This window comes from Homo sapiens, chromosome X, assembly GCF_000001405.40.
Source record: "Homo sapiens chromosome X, GRCh38.p14 Primary Assembly".
NCBI classification, from domain to species: domain Eukaryota; kingdom Metazoa; phylum Chordata; class Mammalia; order Primates; family Hominidae; genus Homo; species Homo sapiens.
In genome coordinates, this window is record NC_000023.11 from 11,152,797 (window position 1) to 11,177,855 (window position 25,059).

The following is a 25,059-nucleotide window of genomic DNA, read 5'->3' on the forward strand; positions in this document are numbered from 1 at the left end:
TGGTAGATCTAAGCTAGAGGTTCTTAACCCTGGTTGCTCATTAAAATCATGCAAGAGACTTTAAACAAAAATCCGAATGTCCAGATTGCAGCCTATGAAAATGAACCAGAATCTCTGAGGGGTGGCCCAGGCATAGTTGTTCTTCAGGCTCCCAGGTGATTCCAAGGGGCTGGTGAGTCTGACAGCCAGTGGGCCAGCACCTATTGTTTGGCATTCTACCCTTGGAGGCCTCCTCCAACAAGTCTGAAAGCTCCTAAAAGCAAGAATATACTTTGATATTTTAAGCTTTTTAAACTCAAAGTGTGGATCATGGACCAGTAGTATCAGGATCACTTGGGAGCTTGTTAGAAATTCAGATTCATAGACTACCTCCCCGAGTCCTACTGATTCAGAAAGAGCATTTTAACAAGATCTGGTGATACCCATGCATAGTAAAGTTTGAGAAGCATGAGTGAGTGAGTTTAAAACACAAAAAGACCACCTACTTTGGGAGGCTGAGGCGGATGGATCACAAGGTCAGGAGTTCGAGACCAGTCTGGCCAACATAGTGAAACCCCGTCTCTACTAAAAATACATAAATTAGCCAGGTGTGGTGGCATGCACCTGTAATCTCAGCTACTTGGGAGGCTGAGGCAGGAGAATCGTTTGAACCCGGGAGGTGGGGATTGCAGTGAGCCGAGATTGTGCCACTGTACTCCAGCCTGGGTGACAGAGCGAGACTCGATCTCAAAAAAAAAAAAAAAAAAAAAAAAAGGCAACTACAGCTAGAGGGGTAGCACTCTGGAGCTCAAGCCTCAAAAGACCACTAAAAGTAAACACTCATTTATTAACATATGCATTTTTACTTCATGACATCATTCTCTGCCTTCTGGGCTGTTCCTTGGCCTGTACCTAGAGGAACACAAACAAAAACCAAACACTTTCTTCTCCTAAGTAAGTCTTCCCCCAGTGTTTTCTGTTCACTGATAATGCTAGTCTCTGACATACACAGAGCTCCTATGGGCTCATTCTTCTTTTTATTTTATTATTATTATACTTTAAGTTTTAGGGTACATGTGCACAATGTGCAGGTTTGTTACATATGCATGCATGTGCCATGTTGGTGTGCTGCACCCATTAACTCGTCATTTAGCATTAGGTATATCTCCTAATGCTATTCCTCCCCCCTCCCCCCATCCCACAACAGACCCCGGAGTGTGATGTTCCCCTTCCTGTGTCCATGTGTTCTCATTGTTCAATTCCCACCTATGAGTGAGAACATGCGGTGTTTGGTGTTTCTGTCCTTGCGATAGTTTGCTGAGAATGATGGTTTCCAGCTTCATCCATGTCCCTACAAAGGACATGAACTCTTCATTTTTTATGGCTGCATAGTATTCCATGATGTATATGTGCCACATTTTCTTAATCCAGTCTATCGTTGTTGGACATTTGGGTTGGTTCCAAGTCTTTGCTATTTTCTTGGAAGCCCTGACACTCACCTAAGATCTTGGTCTAGGGTCTGCTCACCTACACTTTAAAATTCTACTTCTTACTCTTACGGATAGGGAACAGAAGGGGCTGGACAATTGTACAGCTTGGAATGGGCTTAATATGTGTGCTTCTTCCTTTTCCTAATAGAAGAGAAAGAAAGGTTCGCTTTTTACCACAGCATTTATATGCAAAGAGTGTATTTGAAAACCATGTAAAAAAACTTCTATCAACTGTTCTTTAAAGTATAGTATTTATCTATCTCATAATGCCACACAAAAGCAGAAATTTGGCCAGGCAAAAATCAGTGGTTTTCCTCAAAAGTGTGTGTTTTGTAGCTTTCCCACACAGTACCAACCATATGTTATAAGTGCAGTTTAAATGAGGGGCTCATAAATGGAAATGCCAGCATGTCTCTTTTCTGTACAAGGGAGGGAAATAAATGAGTTTATCAAAATTATGGTGGTGCATGATCTGCTGAAAAGAAAAGCCATTTGTTAATATAAATTAGGACTTATACCTTGATGAGGGTTAGAAATCTAGGAAAAATTTAAATGTAAGCCTAATTCTCTGATATGAAAAGCAAGACCATAAAATACTAGCTCATCTATACAATTTGAATATAATTTTATTCACTCATGGCTCTTGGGGCTTGAATCCAGGCCTTACTTTCAACAGAATTTGGTCCTATTTGAATCAGAATTTGGCCTGATAATGAATGGCCCAGACACAGATTTTTTAAAGTAGATCTGAAAGGATAATCCAATTAAAAGGTCTTCCCTGCTAAGCTGGAAATGGAGTGAAGCTGAATTTAGCTGTGCTATCAACGTAATGACCTGGGAAAGAAGGAGGTTGAACAACATGGAATTCCTTTTCACCAAATTTTTCTAAATAATATAACTTTTTAAGTATCTGCAATAATCATGAGTGAAAATTAATTTATCAAGTTCAACACCAATATACAGGAATAACTTAACATGTGTTACTGTTTATAAGACACCATCGATTAAGACATGCCATTATTTTATTTATTTGTTTATTTATTTATTATTATGAGACAGAGTCTCACTCTGTCACCCAGGCTGGAGTGCAGTGGTGCAGTCTCGGCTCACTGCAACTTCCACCTCCCCAGTTCAAGCGATTCTCCCATCTCAGCCTCACGAGTAGCTGGGATTACAGGCACCTGTCACTACGCCTGGCTAATTTTTGTATTTTTAGTAGAGAGGGGGTTTAGCCATGTTGGCCAGGTTGGTCTCGAACTCCTGACCTCAGGTGATCTGCCCGCCTCGGCATCCCAAAGTGCTGGGGTTACAGGTACGGGATTACGTTAGGAGCTTATCATTGGTTATAAGATTAGTCTCAATTTCAGAGATCATAGGTCATGGGAGAAACGTATCTTAGAATTGCTGAAATTTAGTAGGTTAAAAGTATAACAAAAGTGATAATTTTGTAAGAGCATAGCAACAACTTTTCCTGTCACAAATTTATTGTTTGGTGTCCTGGTGATGATACTACTCCTGGTTAATGATGCTATATTATGCCCTTAACTGGTTATGCCAAATGCTCAGCATCCCCACACCCTCTGCCTCTGCAGCAAAGATTGGAAGTAACCATAAAATCTGACTAATGCAAAAACTCTGTGCTCCTCTTTTGGGAGCAAAAATGGCAGCAAGCCATAGCCTGCAGCATGGCTTGCATTTTACTAATTGCAAACATGAGTGCATGTAGAAACCCATGTGCATTTTTATCAAAATAATACTAGCTATAAAAAGTGGGAGAGCCAAGAAGGTGCACACCTCTAATTTCAAATGGGCACCTAGGCCTCAGCTAAGGTCTGTCTTGTGGTTTGATAATGGGTTAATCCCACTGGTAAAGCTGCACAAGCAAGATGCATCCAGGCGCAGCCTTAAGGGCCCCTATGCACGCTTATCAGAATTCTAGAAGTAGAATCATTGACGTGTATTATAGTCCCTTGCCAGTAATTTGTGCTTTTTCCCTGTAAATGAAGTCAAAAGGACCCTGAGAGGCTAGAGAAAGCTGAAAATAAAACAGAAAAATCTTGTAATGTGGTTTCTAATTTGGTAAGTGGATTGATGGGACCCGAAGCATTTTCTGGTTAGATGGACTGATCAGAATTGCCAAAGAGTTGCCAAAATTCCACTTCAGGTCACCCTGCATGTACTTATGTAAACCTTTCCAATTTCTCAGAAATGGAAATAGAAATCTCCAATGCGGCTTTAGAAGATGGAACACTGGAATACTCACGATGATTGGGAAGCCTTTCTTCTGAGTAAATAGTCCACGACATCAGGATCGGTCTCTAACAGGCTGATCAGCACTTCGTTCTGGAGATCTGGGGGAACCTGAAGGAGCCAAATGTTGAGGCATAAATAAAACCATTCCAGAAACAGGCAACATATGGTCACTGACAATTTTACTGTAGCACAAAACAGAGCCCTAAAAGCTGCAAGACAGCAGAATGATTTGCTGGTTAAAACCAAACCTACGCCAACCCATGCAGCTGCTTTAATTCTTAGGACCAACTGGATGATTACCAATAGTCATATTCAATCCAAAATGTCACCCCTCATATGCCTGGAGATACAACTGAACCACTTGGATGCCTTTATTGCTCAGGTTAGATTTTCTTGGTTTTGAATAAGGAAAATATCATGGTTCAGAGAAATAGTGTCCATAATTTATTGCCCAATGGGGGCACTTTCTAGAGTTCACATTTATAATTATGCCAAGGCAGCAGGCAGAAATGATGACTGTATTGGGCAGTTCTGGAATATATGATCAGTTTATTAAGAAGGCAGGCCCTTGAGCCAGACTGCTTGGGTTTGAATCTTAGCCACGCCAGTCACTAGCTGTGGGACCCTTGACAACGTACATCGACAAGGATCTTCCTAGATCTCAGTTTGCTCACGTGTAAAATGGGGATAACAACAGTACTCACCACGAAGCATTGCTATGGTGATTAAATGACTTATTATATGTTGAGACTTTAAAACAGTACTTGGTCAATGGTAAATACTCAAAAAATTGCTGGCTACTACATTTGCATATGTCACTTTATTATTCGGTGCCTGCCTTTACTCCTTTCTTGCACCTGGTCCATCAGTGATGAAAAGTTTCTCACTTTGTAATTTGTTAGGCATCCAGTAGAGTTCTATAGATGAGCATCATATATTTCTCTAAGCCTAATCCATCCACAGTACATTAGAAGATGGCCTCACAACCCTAAGTCATCTGTGTGGAAATGTTCTATAAGAGATGATTGAACCCAGCTCTGACTTGTGGTTTCTTATTCCATAGAAGCTGATAGCTCAACCAAAGGAAACTCAAAACTATTGAGAGAAAATAAAATTTCAGTCTGATTCTCTCACACATGAGCTCAGAGAGAAGACTTTTTAAAACTGCAGGGTTAAGTCTTCTGAAAATAAGTGGTTGGTGGAAGAATTTGCTTCTTGCCTCTTGCAGAACTCTACAGTTCTTGAGCTCTGAGAATCTGGAAACAATTTTATTAATAAAAACAGGGATGAGAAAGCAAGGAAATGTGTTCTGTCTCTTACAAATCTGTTCCTCCTACTTTATCGTGAACCTTCATTAATGACATTGCCAACTTCTAATCACGCAAGCTCAAGATCTCAGAATTGTACTAAAGCTTCTCTGCATCCTCTCTCCATTCAGAGCCAGGAGGCCTACTAGACTTCATCTCTGTTACTTCTTTTCTCCCTTTTCCATTCCAACTGCAGAGACTCAAGTTCAAGCCCTCATTAGCCTTTTGTAGTGGTCATCTGTTCATCATTAAAAGTCTCCATTTCCCTCCTCTTATAATAGTTATACCCCACGTTCCCTCTGGTAAACCAACTGCTACCCAAGCCTTAGCTCAAGGGTGAAGTGTGTATCGTAGTCAAAGTCTATTGAGCATTCCATTCCCAGATCATCATAGTTGCCTGAGCAATGGGCATGTGACTCCATCAGAGGCAATGAAAACCCTGGAGGTTTTCCCTGAGACTTCTAAGAGAGGATACAGGGCCTGTATCCATATGAGGCCTGATGATTGCGCTGACAATTGAGCAAACAATACCAAGAAATAGAGATAAAAGGGATGTCTTGATATCATCTGAGTCCCGGGACAAGCTATGTCTGAAGCCATATTTGCTTGTGGATTGTTCAGCTATGTGAGCCTTCAAATTACTTAAGCTAGTTTGAGTTTTGCATTGCAAAGAAAAATACGTACTTGATGAACCTTTGATACAACAGCTTTCAAATTTGTCTGCTATTTCCTTAACATGTGCAGCACATTTCTTCTCTATGTGGTTGTCAGAATGCCATGGTCAAGACACTCATTTACTGGAAACTCTTTTTATTCCCATGGCTGAAGCCATCCACTTGCATACTGTCCTCAATCTGTCTTTCCCATCTTCTCCCCTAGCAGTCATTCCACACAAGCTCTACTTCAGCACCACTGTGCTTCTCCCTCAGGTCTTCTCTTCCCTCCCTTCCTTTCATTCATTGCATAAATGTTGAGTGAATGCTTCCTGAGTGCCAGGTATTGGATGCTGGGAATTCAGTTACAAACCAAACAGACAATAATCCTTGTCTTCATGAAGCTGGTAACAAATATGGAAAGACGGGCATTAAACAAACATACAAGAAAAACATAGAGAAACACAAGGCAAAGAAGGGCAATGAGAAATGCTTGGGAAGACGCAGTTTTCAATAGGATTGTCAGTCCCAGAGAAGCTGACATTTTAGCAGAAAACTCAAACTGATGAAGGAGTTGGAGAAAATCATTCCAGGTAGAAGGAAGGAAAAGAAAGCCAATGATAAAGGTCTTGAGTCAAGAGTGATGAGGAGGTCTGTGAGGCTGGAAGAGAGTAGGAAAGGAGGCGGGTGGTAGGAAGGGGTCATAGGGCCAGGACCAGGTGTCATGGAGTCTTATGGGTCATAATAAGGACTTCTGCACTTACTTGCAGTGGGTGGGGATCCACTGGAGATTTTGAACAGATGACTAACATGAAGCAGCATCACTCTGGCTGCTGAGTTGAGAGTAGAATGCATGGAGCCAGAGATAAAGCAAGGAGAGCAGAGAGGGCCTGCTGATCTACCCAGATAAGATGATGGGTCCTGAACCAGGGCAGTGAGGTGATGAGAAATATTTCCACAGTGGACATAGTGAGGATAGAGGTAATAGCATTAATTTATTGGATGGAGAGAGAGAGAAGAGAGGGAGAGGGAGAAGAAAGGATGACCTCAATGCTTGGGGCCTAGGCAACTAGAAAGATGGAGTTGCTGTTGACTGGTTTGGAGAAGCTGCAGGAGGAGAAGGTTGGGGGTCAAGTTTTGGAGTGTGGTTTTGATATGATAATGTTTAGAGGTTTGCAAGACATCCAAATGAAGGAGGTATCTTGTAGATAGTTGGCAATAAGGATTCAGAGTTCATAGGAGAGGTCTGGGTTGAACATAGACATTTAAGAGGCACATATAGATGGTATTTAAAACCCTGTGACCAGCTGCAGTGGCCTGGGTATGAAAATGGGGAGAAGGGAAAGGGCAGGATATTTAGGTCAAGGGTGAGATTATTCTCTTACTGTATAAATTAAACAGAAAGACATCATTTTTACTGTATTTTTTCCAAAGATCATCACCCAACAGCCATGTGCTATTATAACAGTTTTTAAAAACGTAACACCTAAAGGGTGAAAATGAGAGGAAAGAGAACTCATATTTTTTTAATGAACAGCAGAGCAAAAAATAATATAGGACAAAAATGTATGTCCCGATCTCTTTTTTAGAAGAAAATTCCATAAACAAATTAGGAAAAGTACTTGCATTTTCATCCAGTTAGTTTAATTTAAAACTTGCTAGGCTTTGACATGTAATAAAAAATTTCGTGGCTGGGTGCGGTGGCTCACGCCTGTAATCCTAGCACTTTGGGAGGCCGAGGTGGGCAGATCACGAGGTCAGGAGATCGAGACCATCCTGGCTAACATGGTGAAACCCCGTCTCTACTAAAAATACAAAAAAAAAAAAAATTAGTCGGGCGTGGTGGTGAGCCCCTGTAGTCCCAGCTACTTGGGAGGCTGAGGCAGAAGAATGGCGTGAATCCGGGAGACGGAGCTTGCAGTGAGCCGAGATCATGCCACTGCACTCCAGCCTGGGTGACAGAGCGAGACTCTGTCTCAAAAAAAAAAAAAAAATTTCGCTCCAAGCACTAATCCATTCTTGGATTTAATTAAAGAATAAACAGTTAGAGTGCAAGCCCTTCAGAGTGGTGCAAGCATGACAATATTAATTCTTTGAGAGTATGTAGTATGTCTAAGATAAATTATCAACTTGGATGCATTATTAGAATAGGTTTCAGAAGTATCATTACTTAAAAAATAACTTTCCATAAATTTTTGTCAAGCTAGTCTGCAATTCAGAGGTTTTCCTCATTCAACTAGGCGAGCAATCATAATTACTGAGGTCTATTTTATGTAGCATATGTGACTCTTACTTGGTAACAAATGCAAATAGGAAGGGTCACAGTTATAAATCTATCTACAGTTTCCTTTTAAAAGGCCCATGGTACCATTTTGGCTTGGAGACACTATTTACAAATGCATAAAAAAGACATAGTTTAAAATTGTAGATCCATGTATTACAGGAAGGCAAATAATATTTTCCTATGTATTATGCAAAACTAACTACAGTTGTATATAATTCATTAGTTTATTTATAATCCATTTTGTTACAGAGTGATTTAAGGCAGCTTCAAAATGTATGTGATTAAACCACATTCTAAAAAATAAAGGAATGATTCAGAAAATTGGAGTCAGTGGGAAAATGAGGTAAAAAATTTGAAATGATGCCTGAAACTGATTTTTTAATGTTCATACAACAGCACCCAGTACTGTTTTCCTATAATTCTTCTAATCTTTGGCTATAACTGCACATTTCGTTTCCTAACATTTAATAAAAATTTCAAACTACTGGCTCAGTTATATTGGATGAACACTTATTTCTCTATTAATTTAGGTACTTAATGGAGAAATAAAAGTCAAGTAAATAAACTGATAGGAAACAGCAGCTTGAAATAAGTAAGAAAGAAATATCTAGGTAGACCACTGACTTAAGCATACCTTTTCAGGAATTAGGATGCTGTAAAAAAAAATCTGACTGAGGCAACAGCCCCTGAAATCCAGTTTTGGCTCTGCTGTTTATAATTAATATAAACTTGGACACATCAATCACCTTCTTTAGGATTCTGTTCCCACATCTGAAAACATATGCATATTCATTTTACTTAATGGGGGGTGTTACGGGAATCAAAAGCGCTAAAAAAAAATGAAAATAGATTACCAATTGCAAAGAGATCTAGTAATAAAATGTTTTATTAGAAATAGATGAAATAAGTAAGTTAAACACTTGAAAAAATAAAAGCAGATAACATGGAGATGGACAATATTTATTCTGCAGTTATTAGTTTTTATTAACAGTCATCCATTCGCTTTCAGAGAAGAAGCACTCTCTTCTCTTTTGCTTAACACTTCTTTTGGGTAACTCAGTTATGGGATTTTCTCTTGCTATGCCTCTGCTTCTAATCCCCCTCTGAATTTCTGGAGTTACAGCCTATGACCTCTTGGCCCTTCAACTGCAATGGTCTTGAAGTCAGACTCTGTGTAGCCTCACCCTTCCAGTTCCTTTGGCTAGACCTTGAATCTTCCCACCATTCAAGTCATTAGAAGGTAAATTTCCTGAAGGCAGGGATTATCTGATTTGTTTACCCAGAACTGAAACAGGCTCAGAAATTTGTAGTTTTCTTTCAGCTAGCCTCCCTCAAAGCTAGGGCAAGATCACGTATGCACATGCTGGTACCTGAAGTGGGGCATGTAGGAGCTTCTGGAAAAGGTTATCTTCCCTATTGAAAATGGGTACATGAAAAGAAACATCATCTCTTCATTAATTGATGCAATGATGGCTGGAAGAGATGCTGTTATCAACTGTAGCCATTTTGCAGCTGAAGATGGCAGAGCAGAGAGAGAGAGAGCAAAGTGCTACCCAGCTACTGAAACTGTGCCCCCCCCCCCATATTTACTGTGTCACATAATAAATGCTGATGTCGAAAGCCATTTGCAGTTGATTATTGTTCTCCTTGCCAGTCAAATGTTTCCTAAATGATGTCTCATTTTCCTCCTCTAACTTTGCCTTCCTACTCTTTCCTCTCTGGAAGGTCTTACCTGCACTTCTATGACCCTCACCCCGTCATTCACTTACACACTCTCTTGCTCAATTTTATGCTCTTTCAGAATACAAGCTAGGGTGGTGATTTCTACCCAGTGGATGTGCAGTGAATGTTGCTGAAATGGCTAAAAATAATAATAATCTAAAATCACCCAGGATTATGGACTGCATGTGTTACGTTGCCCTTGTCTAGATGTTTCTCTCTACTTATCAGTGGTACCTATGTCATGCTGCAGCACAGTCTTCTTGCTGTTCATTTCTAGAGTGGGAAAATACATTTTCTTTCCCAACTGATTATCATCAGATTTTTTCTAAGTTCTTAAGCTATTTTTCTTATCAATACAAAAACTTCAAAACTTTTTGAAAAAGATAGCTCAATAATTAAACAACGTTTTCATTTTCTGCTTCTGGGATTTTTGTATATAGCAAAATGGGAACTAAGGAGAAGGGTAGTGAAAGACATATTACATTTTTTAAAAAATCAAGCAATTCTGCATGTTAAAAAGAAGAAACGAAACCCAGCCCAAAGTGATTCTTCATTTACAATTCATTGTTTCACATCAAAATCTCTACTGGGCTTTAGTCAACCTTGTAACAATTCTAGATATTTTCTAAGGGTACCATTTATGGTCTTGTTTATCTGGAGACTCAACTCCTTAGATTTTAATGAGTTCCTTCAAAGCATAATGCTGTTCCAAAAATCAAAAGAACTTTGGCCCCTCCTGCTTCAGAGAAAAAAATGTAAACACTGCACATATGAAAGAATAAAACTGTCACAATTAAAATCTACCCGATCAAATTAAAAATGAAACCTTGAATTATTGCCTGGGGTATAACTGCTATGAGGTAGTTTATTCCATAAACCACTGAGAGAGAAAAGTGGTATGAGTTGAGTTTTCTCCATTTACTAAGTCACCACAATAAACCATTAAGGGCTTTTTGAAGAGCTATTCCCAGGACCCAGCCCTACTGCACTTGTCACTGGATGTTCCACACCAATCCACCACTTTGCACTTGACCAAGAAGGATGCTTTAGCATTTAAAACCCAGCAAAAGTAAATAGCACTGGAAATCATGATGGCATTTTGTAGTTAACAAACACACTAAAAGAAATCACTTTGGCTGTTTATGGGAGCAAAAGCTCAAACAAGGACAGGCCCAGCTTAGAACCTTTGGCGTGGCTCTGTTGTGACAGGTGGTTTAATAATTTAAGGGGTCTGGGTGCACGGGAGGGTCAAGATGCATTAAATTCGGCAAATATTTCTCAAGTGCTTGATACATGTCAGGCAGCATGTTTTGGCAATTCAGGTACATTAGTGAACAAATACAGTGGAAGGGTCCAGGGCTCATGGAACGATGTTGGAGGATAACTCAAGCAAAGATGAAAGAAATCAGCAGTCTTTGCTCCATGGCAACAGGTTAAAGGGAGTGGGAAAGGTTCAGGCATAATTTGCTTCTGCTTCCTTCCACCTTTGTGGGACACAAACAGTACACATGTTCTGTCTTTACAGACAGGGCCAAGTGAGCAGACTATAGCAGAACATTTGCTGGCTCTGGAAGCCATCTGCTGGCCTGAACATCAGGGGTGCTATGATTAGTCCAGCAGTATTACTGCTGTTAAAGGTCTTCATTCCTCATTTCCAGATTGGCTAAAACATATTTTCTTGTTCTTTCCCCACAAATGGACTCCATATCTGAGATACCACATCAAAATGCCTCTTCTTTTGTGTAAGGAGGCATCATGCTGTAGAAATAATTCATTTAGTCACTGCATCACTTGGGCAAACAAACTTGGCTTACTCCTCATGAAATGGTAGTGAGATTTAAACAAGCCAATAATGTACGTAATGAGTAGCCCAACCCTGGCACGTAGACAGTGGTATTTGTGATATATAGAAAAGGAAATGGAAATCATATATAATTATGTGGATATACTGGGAGGGGTGGTTTCTTGCTTGATGACCTGGATGAATGCTTGACTCTTTGACTTGGTGTGCAAAGTGGCTTTAAGAAAATGCGATTTTCATCAGGGAATGAAGAGAACACAAAGCAAAGCTTGGCTTCTGACTCGGAATCCTCATCACAGCCTCTGACCCTTGCTCCCAGTAGTGCTCATTTGAAATTTCCCACGTGCACTAAGCTGGTCCCCAGTTCAGGCTGACAACTCAGTGGGGTGGGAACACACTGGCTTTCCCACGTCTCCACTGCACTCCGGACTTTTCATCAGCTTACAAGGGTGGTGTCTTCTCTTTCTTGCCCCTCTCCTAAGAAGAAGTCCTAGTAAGAATCGTTTAATATCAGCCCTTAGAAGAAGCTGACAGTTTTCTCCATTCTGCTCTGAAGTTCTTACTAATCCCAAGAGCAATGATGAGTTTTCTCTGGAATTCCCAATATTAGTTACAGAAGTAACAACTTTCAGAACAATTCATGTATCAATGACTTAGTCAGTGAGAACTTTCTGGTTAGGATAATACCAATGACTTTGTGTAGATATTAATGATTCTTATCCTTGATTTCCAGTGCTCCCACAGAGTATCATTTTATGTTAGCCAGTTTTTCAACAGGTGTTGATATCAGAAGTGGAGGGTCATGATTTAAAGGTAAGGGAATATAAGCAGTATGGACACTGGACAAAATCGAAACAAAAATACATTTTTTTTCTAGTAATACAGAATTGCAATATTTATTCAACAAATAATTACTGAGCACCCATCTTTTGCCATATACTTTCTAGGTGGTATGAATGTCAGTGAACAGAACAAACAAAAATCTCTGCCTTTATAAGGTTTGTATTCTGTTAGGTTTCAATAAGCATAAAAATAAGTAAATTATATAGTGGGTTAAAAGGTAATAAATGCTATGGAATAAAAAGAGCAGAGTAAGGGCCTAGGAGTATATATGTGTGGGATCAGGTCACAGCATTATACACAGTGGGCAGAGTGGGCTTGATTTCCAAGAAAACACCCAAACACGCTTTGATAGAGCAGGCACCTTATCCCTTTAATGTAATAATAGCAGAAATCTTCCTTTAATGCCTAATATATGTTAATTCTGTTCTAGGTGCCTTAAAATGTCATTTCTAATTCTTATAACAGTCCTGTAAATTAGGTCACATTGTTTCATCTTTTGGCTAGGGAAGTTAACTGTGGGGCCCAAGATTACATAGCAAATAAGTGGCTGAGCAGGGATTTGAATTTTGGTAGCTCATTCCAATGCACATGGTCTTTCTACCATACCAGTGTTTCCCAAGATATGGTTTCCAAAGGTGTGGTTAGGAAACTACCAGAACTCTGTGGAGGTCTTCACTAGAAAGTGCAGATTATTTCTGGGCCCCATCCCAGTGCTACTCAATCTGATTCTCGGGAGTGCATCCTAGGAATCTGAATGTCTAAGTTTCCTTGCAACTCTGCTGCACACTCAAGTTTGAGAACCACCATTATAATCTACTGCCTTCGTATTTTGATATCTGTGGTCATGATATCTGCTATTATGATCTATTTCCAGCTCAAGGATTTCCAAACCAGTACCTGAAAAGCAAACAACCAATGCAAAAGACTGTCCTAGCCAGACTCTTAAATTGTGTGTCAACCTCTGCATCTAGGTTCCTCTTCTGTATTACAGGACGAAGCCAGGTTCTTTTCCGCCCTTTCCCATTAACTCAGAGAGTGGCCACTTGGGAGAGGCAGTCTCAGCATCAGGAAATGAAGGATGTTAGAACACCCAGAACAAATTTTGGGTCCCTGCCAGGCCTCTGTGAGCTTCTACATCCCTTCCACCAGTTATTTTATGGAATCACTGCCTCCAGGTCTGTTCTGCCTTCCAGGACAAGCTCACAGCTACCTTTCCTAACAAGTCTTCCTTTCTAATGCTAATAGAAGTGACACCTCCCTTTCCGAGCTCTTAAACCCAAGGACTGTGAAACTGCACAATTACTAACTACTTTTAACCATCAGGCCCTGACTAGCTTCATCCTTCTTTGTTTGGAATTATAATAATTCTGAAAGCTTCTTTAAAAAGCCAAACAAAACAAAACAACATAGCGACATACAAGATTACATTTTTGTCCACCCATGCAGATCAGCTTTGCTGACAAACCACCAGCCTTGGTATAGCCGACTAGTTTCTCAACTGCCAAATATGCCAAGATAATCTAAAATGTGATGAGATTAATTTTCTCCTGTGCTTTATAAAAAGGAAGGAAGGGAAGTCAGTGCTAGGGCATAGCACCATGCAGATTTTACAACTAGAAGGGGTCTTGGCTATCATTCATTCAAATCTAGTATTTGATAACTAAAGAAATAGAAGAAGATGAGGTCATGTAGCCAATATATAACAGGGACAGGACGATAGTAAATTTTCTGGTTCCAGAGTCAGTTTCTTTTCATAGACCAAGACTTGAGATATTTGTCTCCCTCTTCCTCCCACTCCACTGTTATTTTTCTGAATATATGATTACCAGAATCCTTCTAAAGAGGTCAAGAATGATTACATTAATGGTTAACTTACTCCAAGAAAGGTATCCTTAATTTCTCCATGCCCAAATCTTTTCATACGTATAAGGAGTAAGGCTTGGTAATATGGAAATCATATGTCACAGAACAACCATTGAGTCATTCATTAATTCAACCAATATTTATTGTGTTCCTACCATGTCCCAGGCACAGGGGTAATGCAGTAAAGAAAGTACTATAGATAGAAATGGACCAAAAAAATCATCCTGTCATGTAGTTTACATTTCTAGGGAGTGGCGAACATAAACGAGAAATTTGTAAGACCCAATGTTAACAGTGGTGAGTGCTAAGGGGAAAAAGCAGGGAAAGGAAATAGGGAGTGATGATGTGTGTGTGTGTGTGATGGAGGGTGGAGGTGCATTTTAGACAAGGTGGCCAGGAAAGGCCTCTATGAGAAGTAAAGACTATAACTGGAGACCAAAAATATGAGAGAATGCCGACATCAATCCCTACAGAGAATGGCAAACAAAGATCAGATTTGGGAAAAGCTGGAAAAGGTAGAATACTGATGTTTTTATACTGTTCTTAGTAATTCAGGTGGCAGGAAATGGAAAGAAGAGGGATGGCACAATTAAAATGGCAGCAGCTATATTTTCAAAGAAGCCAGGAAAACTTTTGTTGGTATCTGAGTTGAAAAGAAATGCTCGATGATATGTGGTTTCATATAAAGGAGAACTTTGCTTAGATAATAGAATTAAGTTTGATGAGAAGTATTATTTTGTTAAAAAAATCCAGAGAACATGAAGTAATGCCAAGACTACTTGGCAAGATGATATGTGACTTAAACTTGATGAAAATGTTGAAAAGTTCAGACATTTGATTCATCCAAATATGTAGTTAATTATGAGGATTTAGGCTGATGTGTAAATTTTATATAGAGTCAATTATTAATTCAACATTTTTTGAGAGCTTAGCATGTGCAACCCAGGGACAGTGCTTCAGAGACACAAACAGGAACAAGATGCCATTCTACCTCAGTGAACTTTTCATTTGCTCTTCCTCCTGGGGATCCAACCAGGATACATTTTCAAGCCTCGCTTGAAGTTAAGTGTGGCTTGTGCATAAGTTCTGGCCAATGAGATTTGAGTGGACAAGATGGATGACCTTTCTGGGGTTGCCCGTAAAACTCTAAAAAATGTCAGAGCCTCAAAATACAAGGAGCTGGGATTCCTAAATCACCACCTGGAAGGCTGTCCACTTAACACCTGATTAAACTTTATGTCAGAGTGATATTTATGTTTGTGTTAAAGTACTGACTTTTGAGGCAGCACGTGTTACCCAACTAATATAATTACTAATTAACAGTTGCATAAACTGCTACAGTTTGCACAATACTTTCACGTATCAAATGATTCTGGTCACCACCCTGAGAATTACATCATCATTTTGTTTTTCCCATTTCTAAAGCTAGAATTGATGCATAATGAGTATTGAATTACTTGGTCACAATCACATAGGTAAGACACAGAGGGCAAATACTCTAAACTGCTGGGTCTCAAATTTACAAAAAGTAATTAGTATAAGACAAGCATGGACATAAATCTAATGCAAAGCACTTGATAAGTGTAGACAAACTACTAAAGAAATTTAAAAGAGGTAACTAGAATTCTCGGTTGAAGGAAGGAGCCACAAAAGGCTCTAGTGGAATAGGCAGGCTTTATAGCGTTTGCAAATTGACAAGAGAAATGGGAGAAAAAACATGAAGAAGGTTCCTGTAAATTTTGACATGCAATATTAGTGGTGAACAGAAATAGAAGAGAGTTGGCATTTGTTTTAATGTTTCAAGGGAAGTTGTAGCAAGCAATGCAGTTTGATGAAGGAAAACAGGAACTGGTAATTCAATACAAATCAAAAAAATATTTATTGAGTGCCTGCCAGATGGAGGGCTTTCCAAAAGTGTACAGAGGATATGGAGAGGAGATAACAATGGTGCAGTCCTTGTTTTAAATGCATTTATACTCTACTAGGGGAAATGGTCATAAATTACTATACACAATGTTGGGCAAGATAAACATCAGTAAGAACAGTAATGGAGTTCAGGGGACAGAGAAGTGGCATGGGAAGGACAAAGGAAGGAGAGGTGAAGCTTCATGTAGGAGGTAAAATGTCAAGATTGACCTTGGAGGAGGTGAAACCACTGAGGATGCTTATGAATACATGAATTCATGAGGGACACAATTCCATAAAGAAGGGTTTTATTAATGTCTTGAGCAAGGACACTGCTTTATAATTAAGTGACTCCAAAATGTGACCATGGTTTAGAGGACAACAAAATGAAAATTATAATTTGGCATGTTTGTTTAAACATGGAGTCACAAACTCAAAATGACATCATAGTTGTGCAAATTTCTACTCCTGCTGAAACTGCCTGACTTCCAATGAATTCAGTGAGCAGCACTGCACCCCAGAGGGTGGTCTACTAGAATTTCATCCTGCCTCCAGAGGAAACCAATAGGCAGTTTGCTGTGATGTCCTGCCACAGAAGGGCCACCTACCATGAACAGGGCTTCATAATTTTCAATCATCTTTTGCACAACAGCGATGATGGCCGTGCTCTCCTCAGCCCGGGCTGAACTCTGAACTGAGAATTCTTTGTCTGATGACTTCTGCTTGTGCAGCAGGTTGGGTCCAAATATGGTGGCTAAGTTTAGAGATGTCATTTTATTCCCAGTGACCTATAAGAGAACAGAACACAAGGACTGTTGTTATGTTTGCCTTTCAAGATACTGGGTGATTCAACAATCAATGAAACCTTTTACTCTCCTTTTTTTTTTTTAATCCTGCAAGGATGCCATCCTCTCTGTCAGAATCCATGGAGGGCATCATTATTTTCCTTTTGCTTTAATATCTTGGATTGAAGCTCACAGTTCAGTGATCATCTCAATAGCATATTGAATAAAAATTTGCAACTCTAAGTTGTTTATTGTAAAATGGGTACTACATAAAATTTCTATCCTGTTTGCACTTAAGAAATATTGACACCCATCCATCCATCTATCCATTTCTCCATCCATCCCTTCATTCATCAACCCATAATCTCACCACTGATCCATCCACTCAGCACCTATCATAGGCTGGGCATTTTTCATATATTGTAATTATTTTAAAATTTTTCCAATGATTACAACATAGTCCTTATTTTAAAGGTCTCTCATTCTAGGGAGGAAATAAACCTATCACTTACAGGTAATGAGTACAAAGTATAAAGCTCTCAACTCCAAAGGCCCCAGGGTCACTACCACAGAGGCGGAAGCATTTGCACAAACTCTCAAAAGAAGAATAGAGTTTGCTAGGCTGAAAAGCAAAGGATCTGGGCTAGGGGGTAATTTTACAATGGAGAAAGCACCACACATGCAAAGACAGAAACATCTAAAATACGTCATGGAGCCCCAGGAAGCTCAGTGTGGTAGGGAGTTCTGCAGGAAAGGCAGGCAAGGGCCAGGTGAGATGATCTTCATGTGTCAGACCAAGGAATTCAAACTGTGATCTAAGGGCAAGAGGATTCTGAACAGAGCAGAATGGAAATGGAATCTGCATTTCAGGAAGAGCAATCTATGGAACAGGGGATGGGGGATGCAAGGAAGTAGGACTACCTGGGACATACCACAACAGTCTAGGCCACAGCAGCTAGCATCTGAACTAGGAAGGAAGAAGTAGGGATGAAGAGCAGCTTCCAAAGTTACGGAGGGGGTGAAGAGGATAATGCAGAGGGTAAGGATCTTGTGTTTTAACAAATGAAAAAATGGAAGGACAGTTAAGTGAGGAACATGAAGGGCTGAAAAGGGGTTCCTGGAGACTCCAGCACCCTTAAGGAGCAGCTGATGAAGGAGGCCAATAATGGGTGAGAAGTTACCATAAAAGAAACCTGTGTCCAAGAAGAAATGACAGGGGAGTTTCAAGTGAGTTATCAACTGTGGCAGAGGGTCATCGAGATGTGACCCTTCCCTCCAGAATGGACTCTCTGATGGTTCTGATGTCCCAGCTAAGAGTCATGTCAGTGGTGTGGCAGGAATGAGCCACAGTTGCAGAAGTGGAAACAGTGAATGTAGACACTTTCTTCAAAAGATATCACAGAGAAGGAGGAAGAAGAAATGTAGGAGGAGCTAAAGGGGAGTACGGGGTGAAGGAAGGGAACTATTTTTTGCTTGAAGCATAAAAAATTATTCACATTCAATATATTAATAATTAGAAAGCACAGGTAAGCCAAAAGAAAAAAAAATGCCCATAATTTCACCACTGCCAAGAATCAGCCATTCCTATGCCTTCCTGTGCACATATATACATGTACACCTGATATTTTCTTCTTTAAAACTGGGATCACATCCATATATTATTTTGTAACTTGCTTACTATCTCTTAACAACATGCTACAATAATCTTTCCACTACAAAAAAAAAAAAAATCCTGTCTTCAGGCTTCATTGGCCCCTAGAATCCCACTGCACGAATAAACCATGATGTTTTTTAACCACAGTCAACTAATAGGCATTGATGTCGTCTTGAATTTTCTGTTATTATAAGCAATGGTACAAAAAATATCCTTGAAAAGATATTTTGTGAGCTCGGGTGAGCACTTTTTAGGAGTAAATTCCTACAAGTTGAATTGTTGTAATAAGGAATATGAACGTTTTCAAAGGTTTGGGAATTTTTTCTACTTGTCTTTCTTTCAGGTGAACGGGAGAGTCTGAGTAAGTTTCTCTAGGCTAGGGTTTCTCTACCTCGACACTAGTGACATGTAATACCAGATCATTCTTTGCTGTGGGGGCTGTCCTGTGCATTACAGGATGTGGAACAGCACCCCTGGCCTCAGCCCACTAGATGCCAGGAGCACCCCTGCCCTCAACCCACAGTTGTGACAACCAGAATTATCTCTAGACATGGTCGCAGGTCCCCTGTGGGGTAAAATTGCTCCTGGTTGAGAACCACTGGTCTATGTGAATTTTTATTTCTCTTGTCAATATCAGTTGAGAGTCAGGATAAGTATGGGAACTGCGTCTGCTTGGTGGGGATCTTTTGCCTGGGAAGATCTACATAGATTTTGAGAAACACCTGGGTGCCCAGCATAGAATTCAGGAGTCCCAATGAACAGCTGAAACAAAGCCCTCTGAACCCCACTCTCATCCTGTGGCGTCATGAGCTGGTGGCTGCCCTGCCCTGCAATCCCAGCTTGGTACACGAGTTGTATTATTTTTAGAAGGCAAGGCTGTTTTCAGGTGAATGATTGGCCTCCAAGGGATATCATTTCATGTGATAAACACTGACAATTTCAAAGAAAGTGCCCTTTATGTAGGATCGTCCAATCATTTTTCTTTGTTTTATTTCATTGGTAAGTTTTTTATTTCATTGACAAGTTTTCATTTAATTTTTCTTTTCCTGGAAATTCATGGTTAAGGTGAAAATCAAATACGTGTCATTTTCAAATTCCTCCCTTTAGAACTCAGAGGTATTTGGAGTGTTTCCCCTTACCCCTGTAAAGTCATATTAGGGTTTTCTCATTTTTTAAAAAAAACATTAACAAATGGAAGATTTTGTTTTCTTTTAAAAGAATGTTTCATACGAGAACAATCTAGAGCTCTGTTTCCGCTCTTTCCTTCTCCTGTTGCTATTCTGGGAATGGAATACAACCCATCTGTAAAACTGCACACAGATTCCAGCTGCAGACCAAGCTGCTGGGGTTTGTTAACACTTTTGGGGTTTCTTTTGTTTTATTGTTTTTTAACAGGGAAAGAAGAGTTGCTCCCAGGCAACATCCACCTTTTCTCCATGTGTTTCAGCATATATTTATATATATACTATACGGCTGTGTCTAGGTAATACAACGTACACTCGAGCCAGGCCATTACTTCATTTTTTAATTAGCTAGCAATTCAAGAAAACTTTTATCTTCACTAAATGAACATCCTAGATCATTTCTAAGCTTCATATGAATAGCTCATATCTGTTAAAAGTCTAATATGTACAGGTACCAGGCTAGGGGCTTTCCACTGGCCATTTCAATTCTTTCTCACTATAAGCTTAAGAAACAGCTGCTGCTGTTGTCCCTATTTTATAGACGAGGGAAGTGATGTCCAAAGCTCAGAGCCAGGAGATGGTATAGAAAGAAGCGAAGCTGGTGGCCCCACTCTAGGCAGCCCTACTCTCTTCATCCCATTGCTACATCTCTTCCTGTTTCCTCTTGCTGGGCAGACCCAGCCATGGCATGGGGAAACGGGAAAACGAGCTTTAAAACAGGGCTGAATGAGGGTGAGGGGAGACACAGGTCTTGCTAAGTTCCAAAGCCAACCACCATTTCCTAGAGGCATGTACCTCCTCAGAGATTAGTAATCATGGCCCTACACTGGTGATTTGTAACTTCTTTTTTTGCCTCATAGACCCTTTGAGAACTCAATGCCAGCTACGGACTCTCACCAAACAAGTGCATATTCACACCACATTTTCCAGGCAGTGCCAGGGGGTTCTTGAACTCTGAAAAACCACTGCTCAGGAGGTTTCAATTTTGTTCCTGCTATATTCTTTCTTGAAGAAATGCAATGTTTCTTACACTTGGGAATTTCTCTTTTCCCTAAGGAGCAAAGCAAATAGCAAACTAAACAAAATAGAAGAAAACAAAACAAACACAAGATAGCAAAACACCACAATTCAATAAAATACTGCTATTTTTTCCCAAAAAAGCACTGATTGGTCAACAATTTTTCTCATGCCCTTCTTTTAGACATCTTTAAGGTCTCACCAGTGAATGATGCATTGAATTTTAAGCACATATCAAAGAGAAAATATTATGTTCATTTTGTAGATGAGGAAGCTAAGACCACCCCCCATCCCAACTCTGTTTTCCTTCCTCTTCCTCTCTTTCATAAAGACAAGTTATGCAGCAAGGTGCTGGCAGAACCTGTGTGAGCTTTCAAGCTTCTTGACAATCTGCTTCAGGTTTCATCTATGTTGCAATCCCCCCAAACAACACCCTAACAAATAGATAATACATACTAAAAAAATAGGGAAGAGAAGAAGTTGAAAAATATTGGTTTTTGACCATATTTTACAATTTGGTATTTAGTTTTACTCCAGTCTGCCCATTCCATATTCTCTACCTGCTCATGCCAAATCAACTAAAAAATAATAAATAACTCCTCTCTTGATCCTCTCCCTCTACCCTTGACTTCTAACAGAAGGGGTTTGGCTAACTCCCATCCCAATGCTGTGCTTATGTGGTCCATGTACTCAATCCCTACACACCCTTTGATGTGCATCTTAAATTCAACCTCCTCCATGAAGCCATTCCTAACTTTTCTGGCCCATGCTCATCACTTCTCCGAATGTCTGCAATGACTCTGCAGTGCATTCCCTAATTCTATATTTGCCTTGTGTCCTCACCTCCTCCACCTCTTAGATGCCATTGTATCCTGAGGCCAGTCATTAGAAAATTTCTGAGCAATAGTCGTTGGTTTACAGGAACCTAGGGTAGATGCTCAGGACATGCATGATTCAAATCCCAAGGCCATTCTTTCTTTCTTTCCTTCCTTCCTTCCTTCCTTCCTTCCTTCCTTCCTTCCTTCCTTCCTTCCTTCCTTTCTTTCTTTCTTTCTTTTTCTTTCTTTCTTTCTTTCTTTCTCTTTCTTTTCTTTCTTTCTTTCTTTCTTTCTTTCTTTCTTTCTTTCTTTCTTTCTTTCTTTCTTTCTTTCATTCATTTATTTATTTTTGAGATGGAGTCTCGCTCTGTCACCCAGGCTGGAGTGCAGTGGCGTGATCTCGGAGCACTGCAAGCTCCGCCTCCCAGGTTCACACCATTCTCCTGCCTCAGCCTCCTGAGTAGCTGGGACTACAGGCACCCACCACCACGCCCGGCTAATTTTTTTTGTATTTTTTTAGTAGAGACAGGGTTTCACCATGTTAGCCAGGATGGTCTCGATCTCCTGACCTCGTGATCCGCCCACCTCGGCCTCCCAAAGTGCTGGGATTACAGGCGTGAGCCACCGCGCCTGGCCCGCCAAGGCCATTCTTACATGGAAATGTTTATAATAGGAATTGCTGTTGTCCATATTACTATTGATACAAAAGCCTCCTAACTCACTCTCCCTTTGTCTCTAGCCAATCTACAACGTGGATCATATCACCCATTAGTTGAATCCTTCCAAGGATTCACAGCTTAAAAGAATCAACCACCTGCCCTGCACAGAGGCATTCAGCAATTTATGAACATGGCCCAATTTCCCATTGTCTCCCTCAGTACTTCACTGCTCCGTAGCCTTTACTACAGTTCACAATGGCTGTGAGAGCTGCCTGCTCTCCTGTCACTGCTAACGATTTCACGGAAGCAATGCTTTCCTTATATTTCTCCTGCTGCTTTAATCTTTGGCTATTAGTCTTTCATTTTGATGCAATGTTCAGGTCAAGAGTGTCTAGAAACCCTCGTAAACCCTGGCTTCCTTTTACAACTTCACTGTCACCAGGATAATTCCATATTCCTTACAGTAAACTAGGTCTCTCAACCACTCTTCAAGGCTGGTTGAAGAATTTTCATTCCTCAAGTTCAGATGAGGAGACCCAGGTATAGGAAGGTTAATAGATTTTTCTAACAACACATGGTCAGTGAATTAAAGAGCTATCAAGCGCTCTCAACCAGGGGTGATTTTGAACCCTTCTCCTCAGGGGAGACCTGGAAATGTTTGGAGATATTTTTGGTTGTCACAACTTGGTGGGAGAGGAGATGTACTGCTACTGGCATCTAGTGGGAAGAGGCCGGGGATGCTGCTAAACATCCTACAATGCACAGGACGGCCCCATGACAAAGAATTCCTAGCTCCAAATATCAATTGTGCAGAGGCTGAGAAACCATGACCTAGACCCCAGTACATTTTTTTTTTCTTCTAATTCCTATTCTGTACGTCTTTTCTCTTAGACTGGCTCAGGTTCTATGCACAGCTTGGACTTTGCTAGTAAGGGGACCAACCCAACCCATTAACCAGTATAACGACATTGTCCTTCTTCAAGATCTTTTTCTATCATCCACTGGGATACTGTCCTAATAACTCTGCAAATCTCCAGTGACTATGGGGTCCATGGCACCTCCCCTAGAGTTGTGAAATGCACTAATATGCCACTCGTACAACCTTAAGTGGAAGCTCTCTGTGGGTTGCTAGGTAAGTTACTTAGCTCCCCTGGCCCTAAGTTTTCACTTCTGAAACATGGAGACAGTGATATCTCTTTTGCCTGTTAAGAGGATTTGCATATATATATATATATATATATATATATATATTTGCATATATTTATATATTTATATGTATTTGCATGCATATATATATATATATATATATATATATATATATATATATATATATATATCTCCCCTAGCACAAAGCCAGCTCATGGAAGGAGAGACATAAATGGTAGCTAATATTCCAGCATGCTGTTTCATTTACACCTGTCCAAGAATATTTTCTTCTTTTTGGCATAGGCAATGGAGACTTGTTCAGCAATTGAATGGAAAGAATGTCTGAAAATGATTCTAAAAGGGCAACAATGAGTTCGATTGGAACTTTTGCTTTCCTCAATGCCTTCCTAATTACCTGAGACCCAATTTTCTCCTTCTCACACAGTACTTAAGAAATGTCAGAGAAGTAACTGGAGTACCTTTAAACACAGAGCTCTGCTTTCCCCCAGCAATTAGGCAGATCATGCTACAGCTTCTGTTATAACTGTAGTTGATAGAGGTTGGCATCCAAATGAGTAATAAAACTACTTAACAATTATGAGAATTATAGTATGCCCATCAAAGAGCTGTGTATGCTGAAATAAGGTGTCAGTGCCACATTATGAAACCTGAAGCCATCTGGGGCTTCACTAATTATAACTGCTATAGAGATAAATGGCTAAGTCAGGAGAGTTCCATTCTCACACCCGTAAGGAGGAGGACGAGAAGAAATGCAGAATTGCCTTTCTGGATTAGAGTGAAAAAAATTATACATAACCACGTTCTTTGGGAAAGAAATTTGACAAACACAGAACTGAAGCTGCAGTGCAGCTGAGCTTTGTTTAACAAGAATTTACAAAAAAGTTTCTGTGGTTAAGTAAGTTTGGAATGCCTCTGGCCCCTTCTTATTGATTTACAGTGCATGTTAGCTTATTAAGGAGTCTAAAACCTCCTGAGGAATCCGAGGTCAGGGAGAGGTATAACTGCATGGTATCAAAGAGGGAAGGGGGTGTCTCTTGTTAAGGTGAAGATTAAATACGTTGCCCATAAGTAAGCAACTTAAAATTCAAGCCAGCATCTCATTTGTCCAAGGGTGAAACAAAAAAAAAAATCTTGAAATATATGAGTGTAACCAAAGAGAACCAGAACCCAAGATCTTAGATTTGGTGGGCGGGGGGGGGGCACACTGGGGCCTGAGTGGGGATCAGATCCAACAAGAACATTTCTAAAGAGTCTGTGGGACTATGTACAACCTGCTTTGAGCAGTTGATACCATGTGACATCAAGACACAATGGCAATGGTCAGCAGATCAGACCCAGTTTCCTCCACACCTGGTTTGGAAGCAGGACTGACCCTCCCTTGCATCGAGCAAGTCCCTGTTTTGGGGGGAGAGTTTAAGAAAGGAAAGGATCCCTTGAAAGGGAGACACTAGACTTCTTGCTCATAGTGCAGATGGGAGCTCCAGGGATAAACTGGAAGAATAAAGAGGTGACATCATATTTGGGCTCCAAGTTATAGAAGCAGGTAAAATCAATTATAAGGATAACAATCTCCTCCCACCCCCATCATTCCACTTTTACATGGTTGCAAGCACTTCTGTAGTTCACTGTTTTTCTTCTTTACAAACGGAAGTTCAGAGTCTTGAGTAAAGCCTCA

At 40.2% G+C, this 25,059-nt stretch overlaps 1 protein-coding gene across 5 annotated transcripts in view; it reads right to left on the reverse strand.

Moving 5' to 3' along the window:
* Positions 1-25,059, reverse strand: part of ARHGAP6 (Rho GTPase activating protein 6) — a 528,377-nt gene that overhangs the window by 15,253 nt on the left and 488,065 nt on the right. For all 5 annotated transcript variants that reach the window (NR_109776.2, NM_013427.3, NM_001287242.2 and 2 more), the window contains 2 exons: positions 16,709-16,888; positions 3,733-3,830 (listed from right to left, as the gene is read on the reverse strand). Coding sequence is in view for 4 of the 5 variants with exons in the window: in NM_013427.3 (NP_038286.2) it covers positions 3,733-3,830; positions 16,709-16,888 (278 nt within the window). In the remaining variant the exon portion in view is untranslated. The remainder of the gene's footprint in view (positions 1-3,732; positions 3,831-16,708; positions 16,889-25,059) is intronic.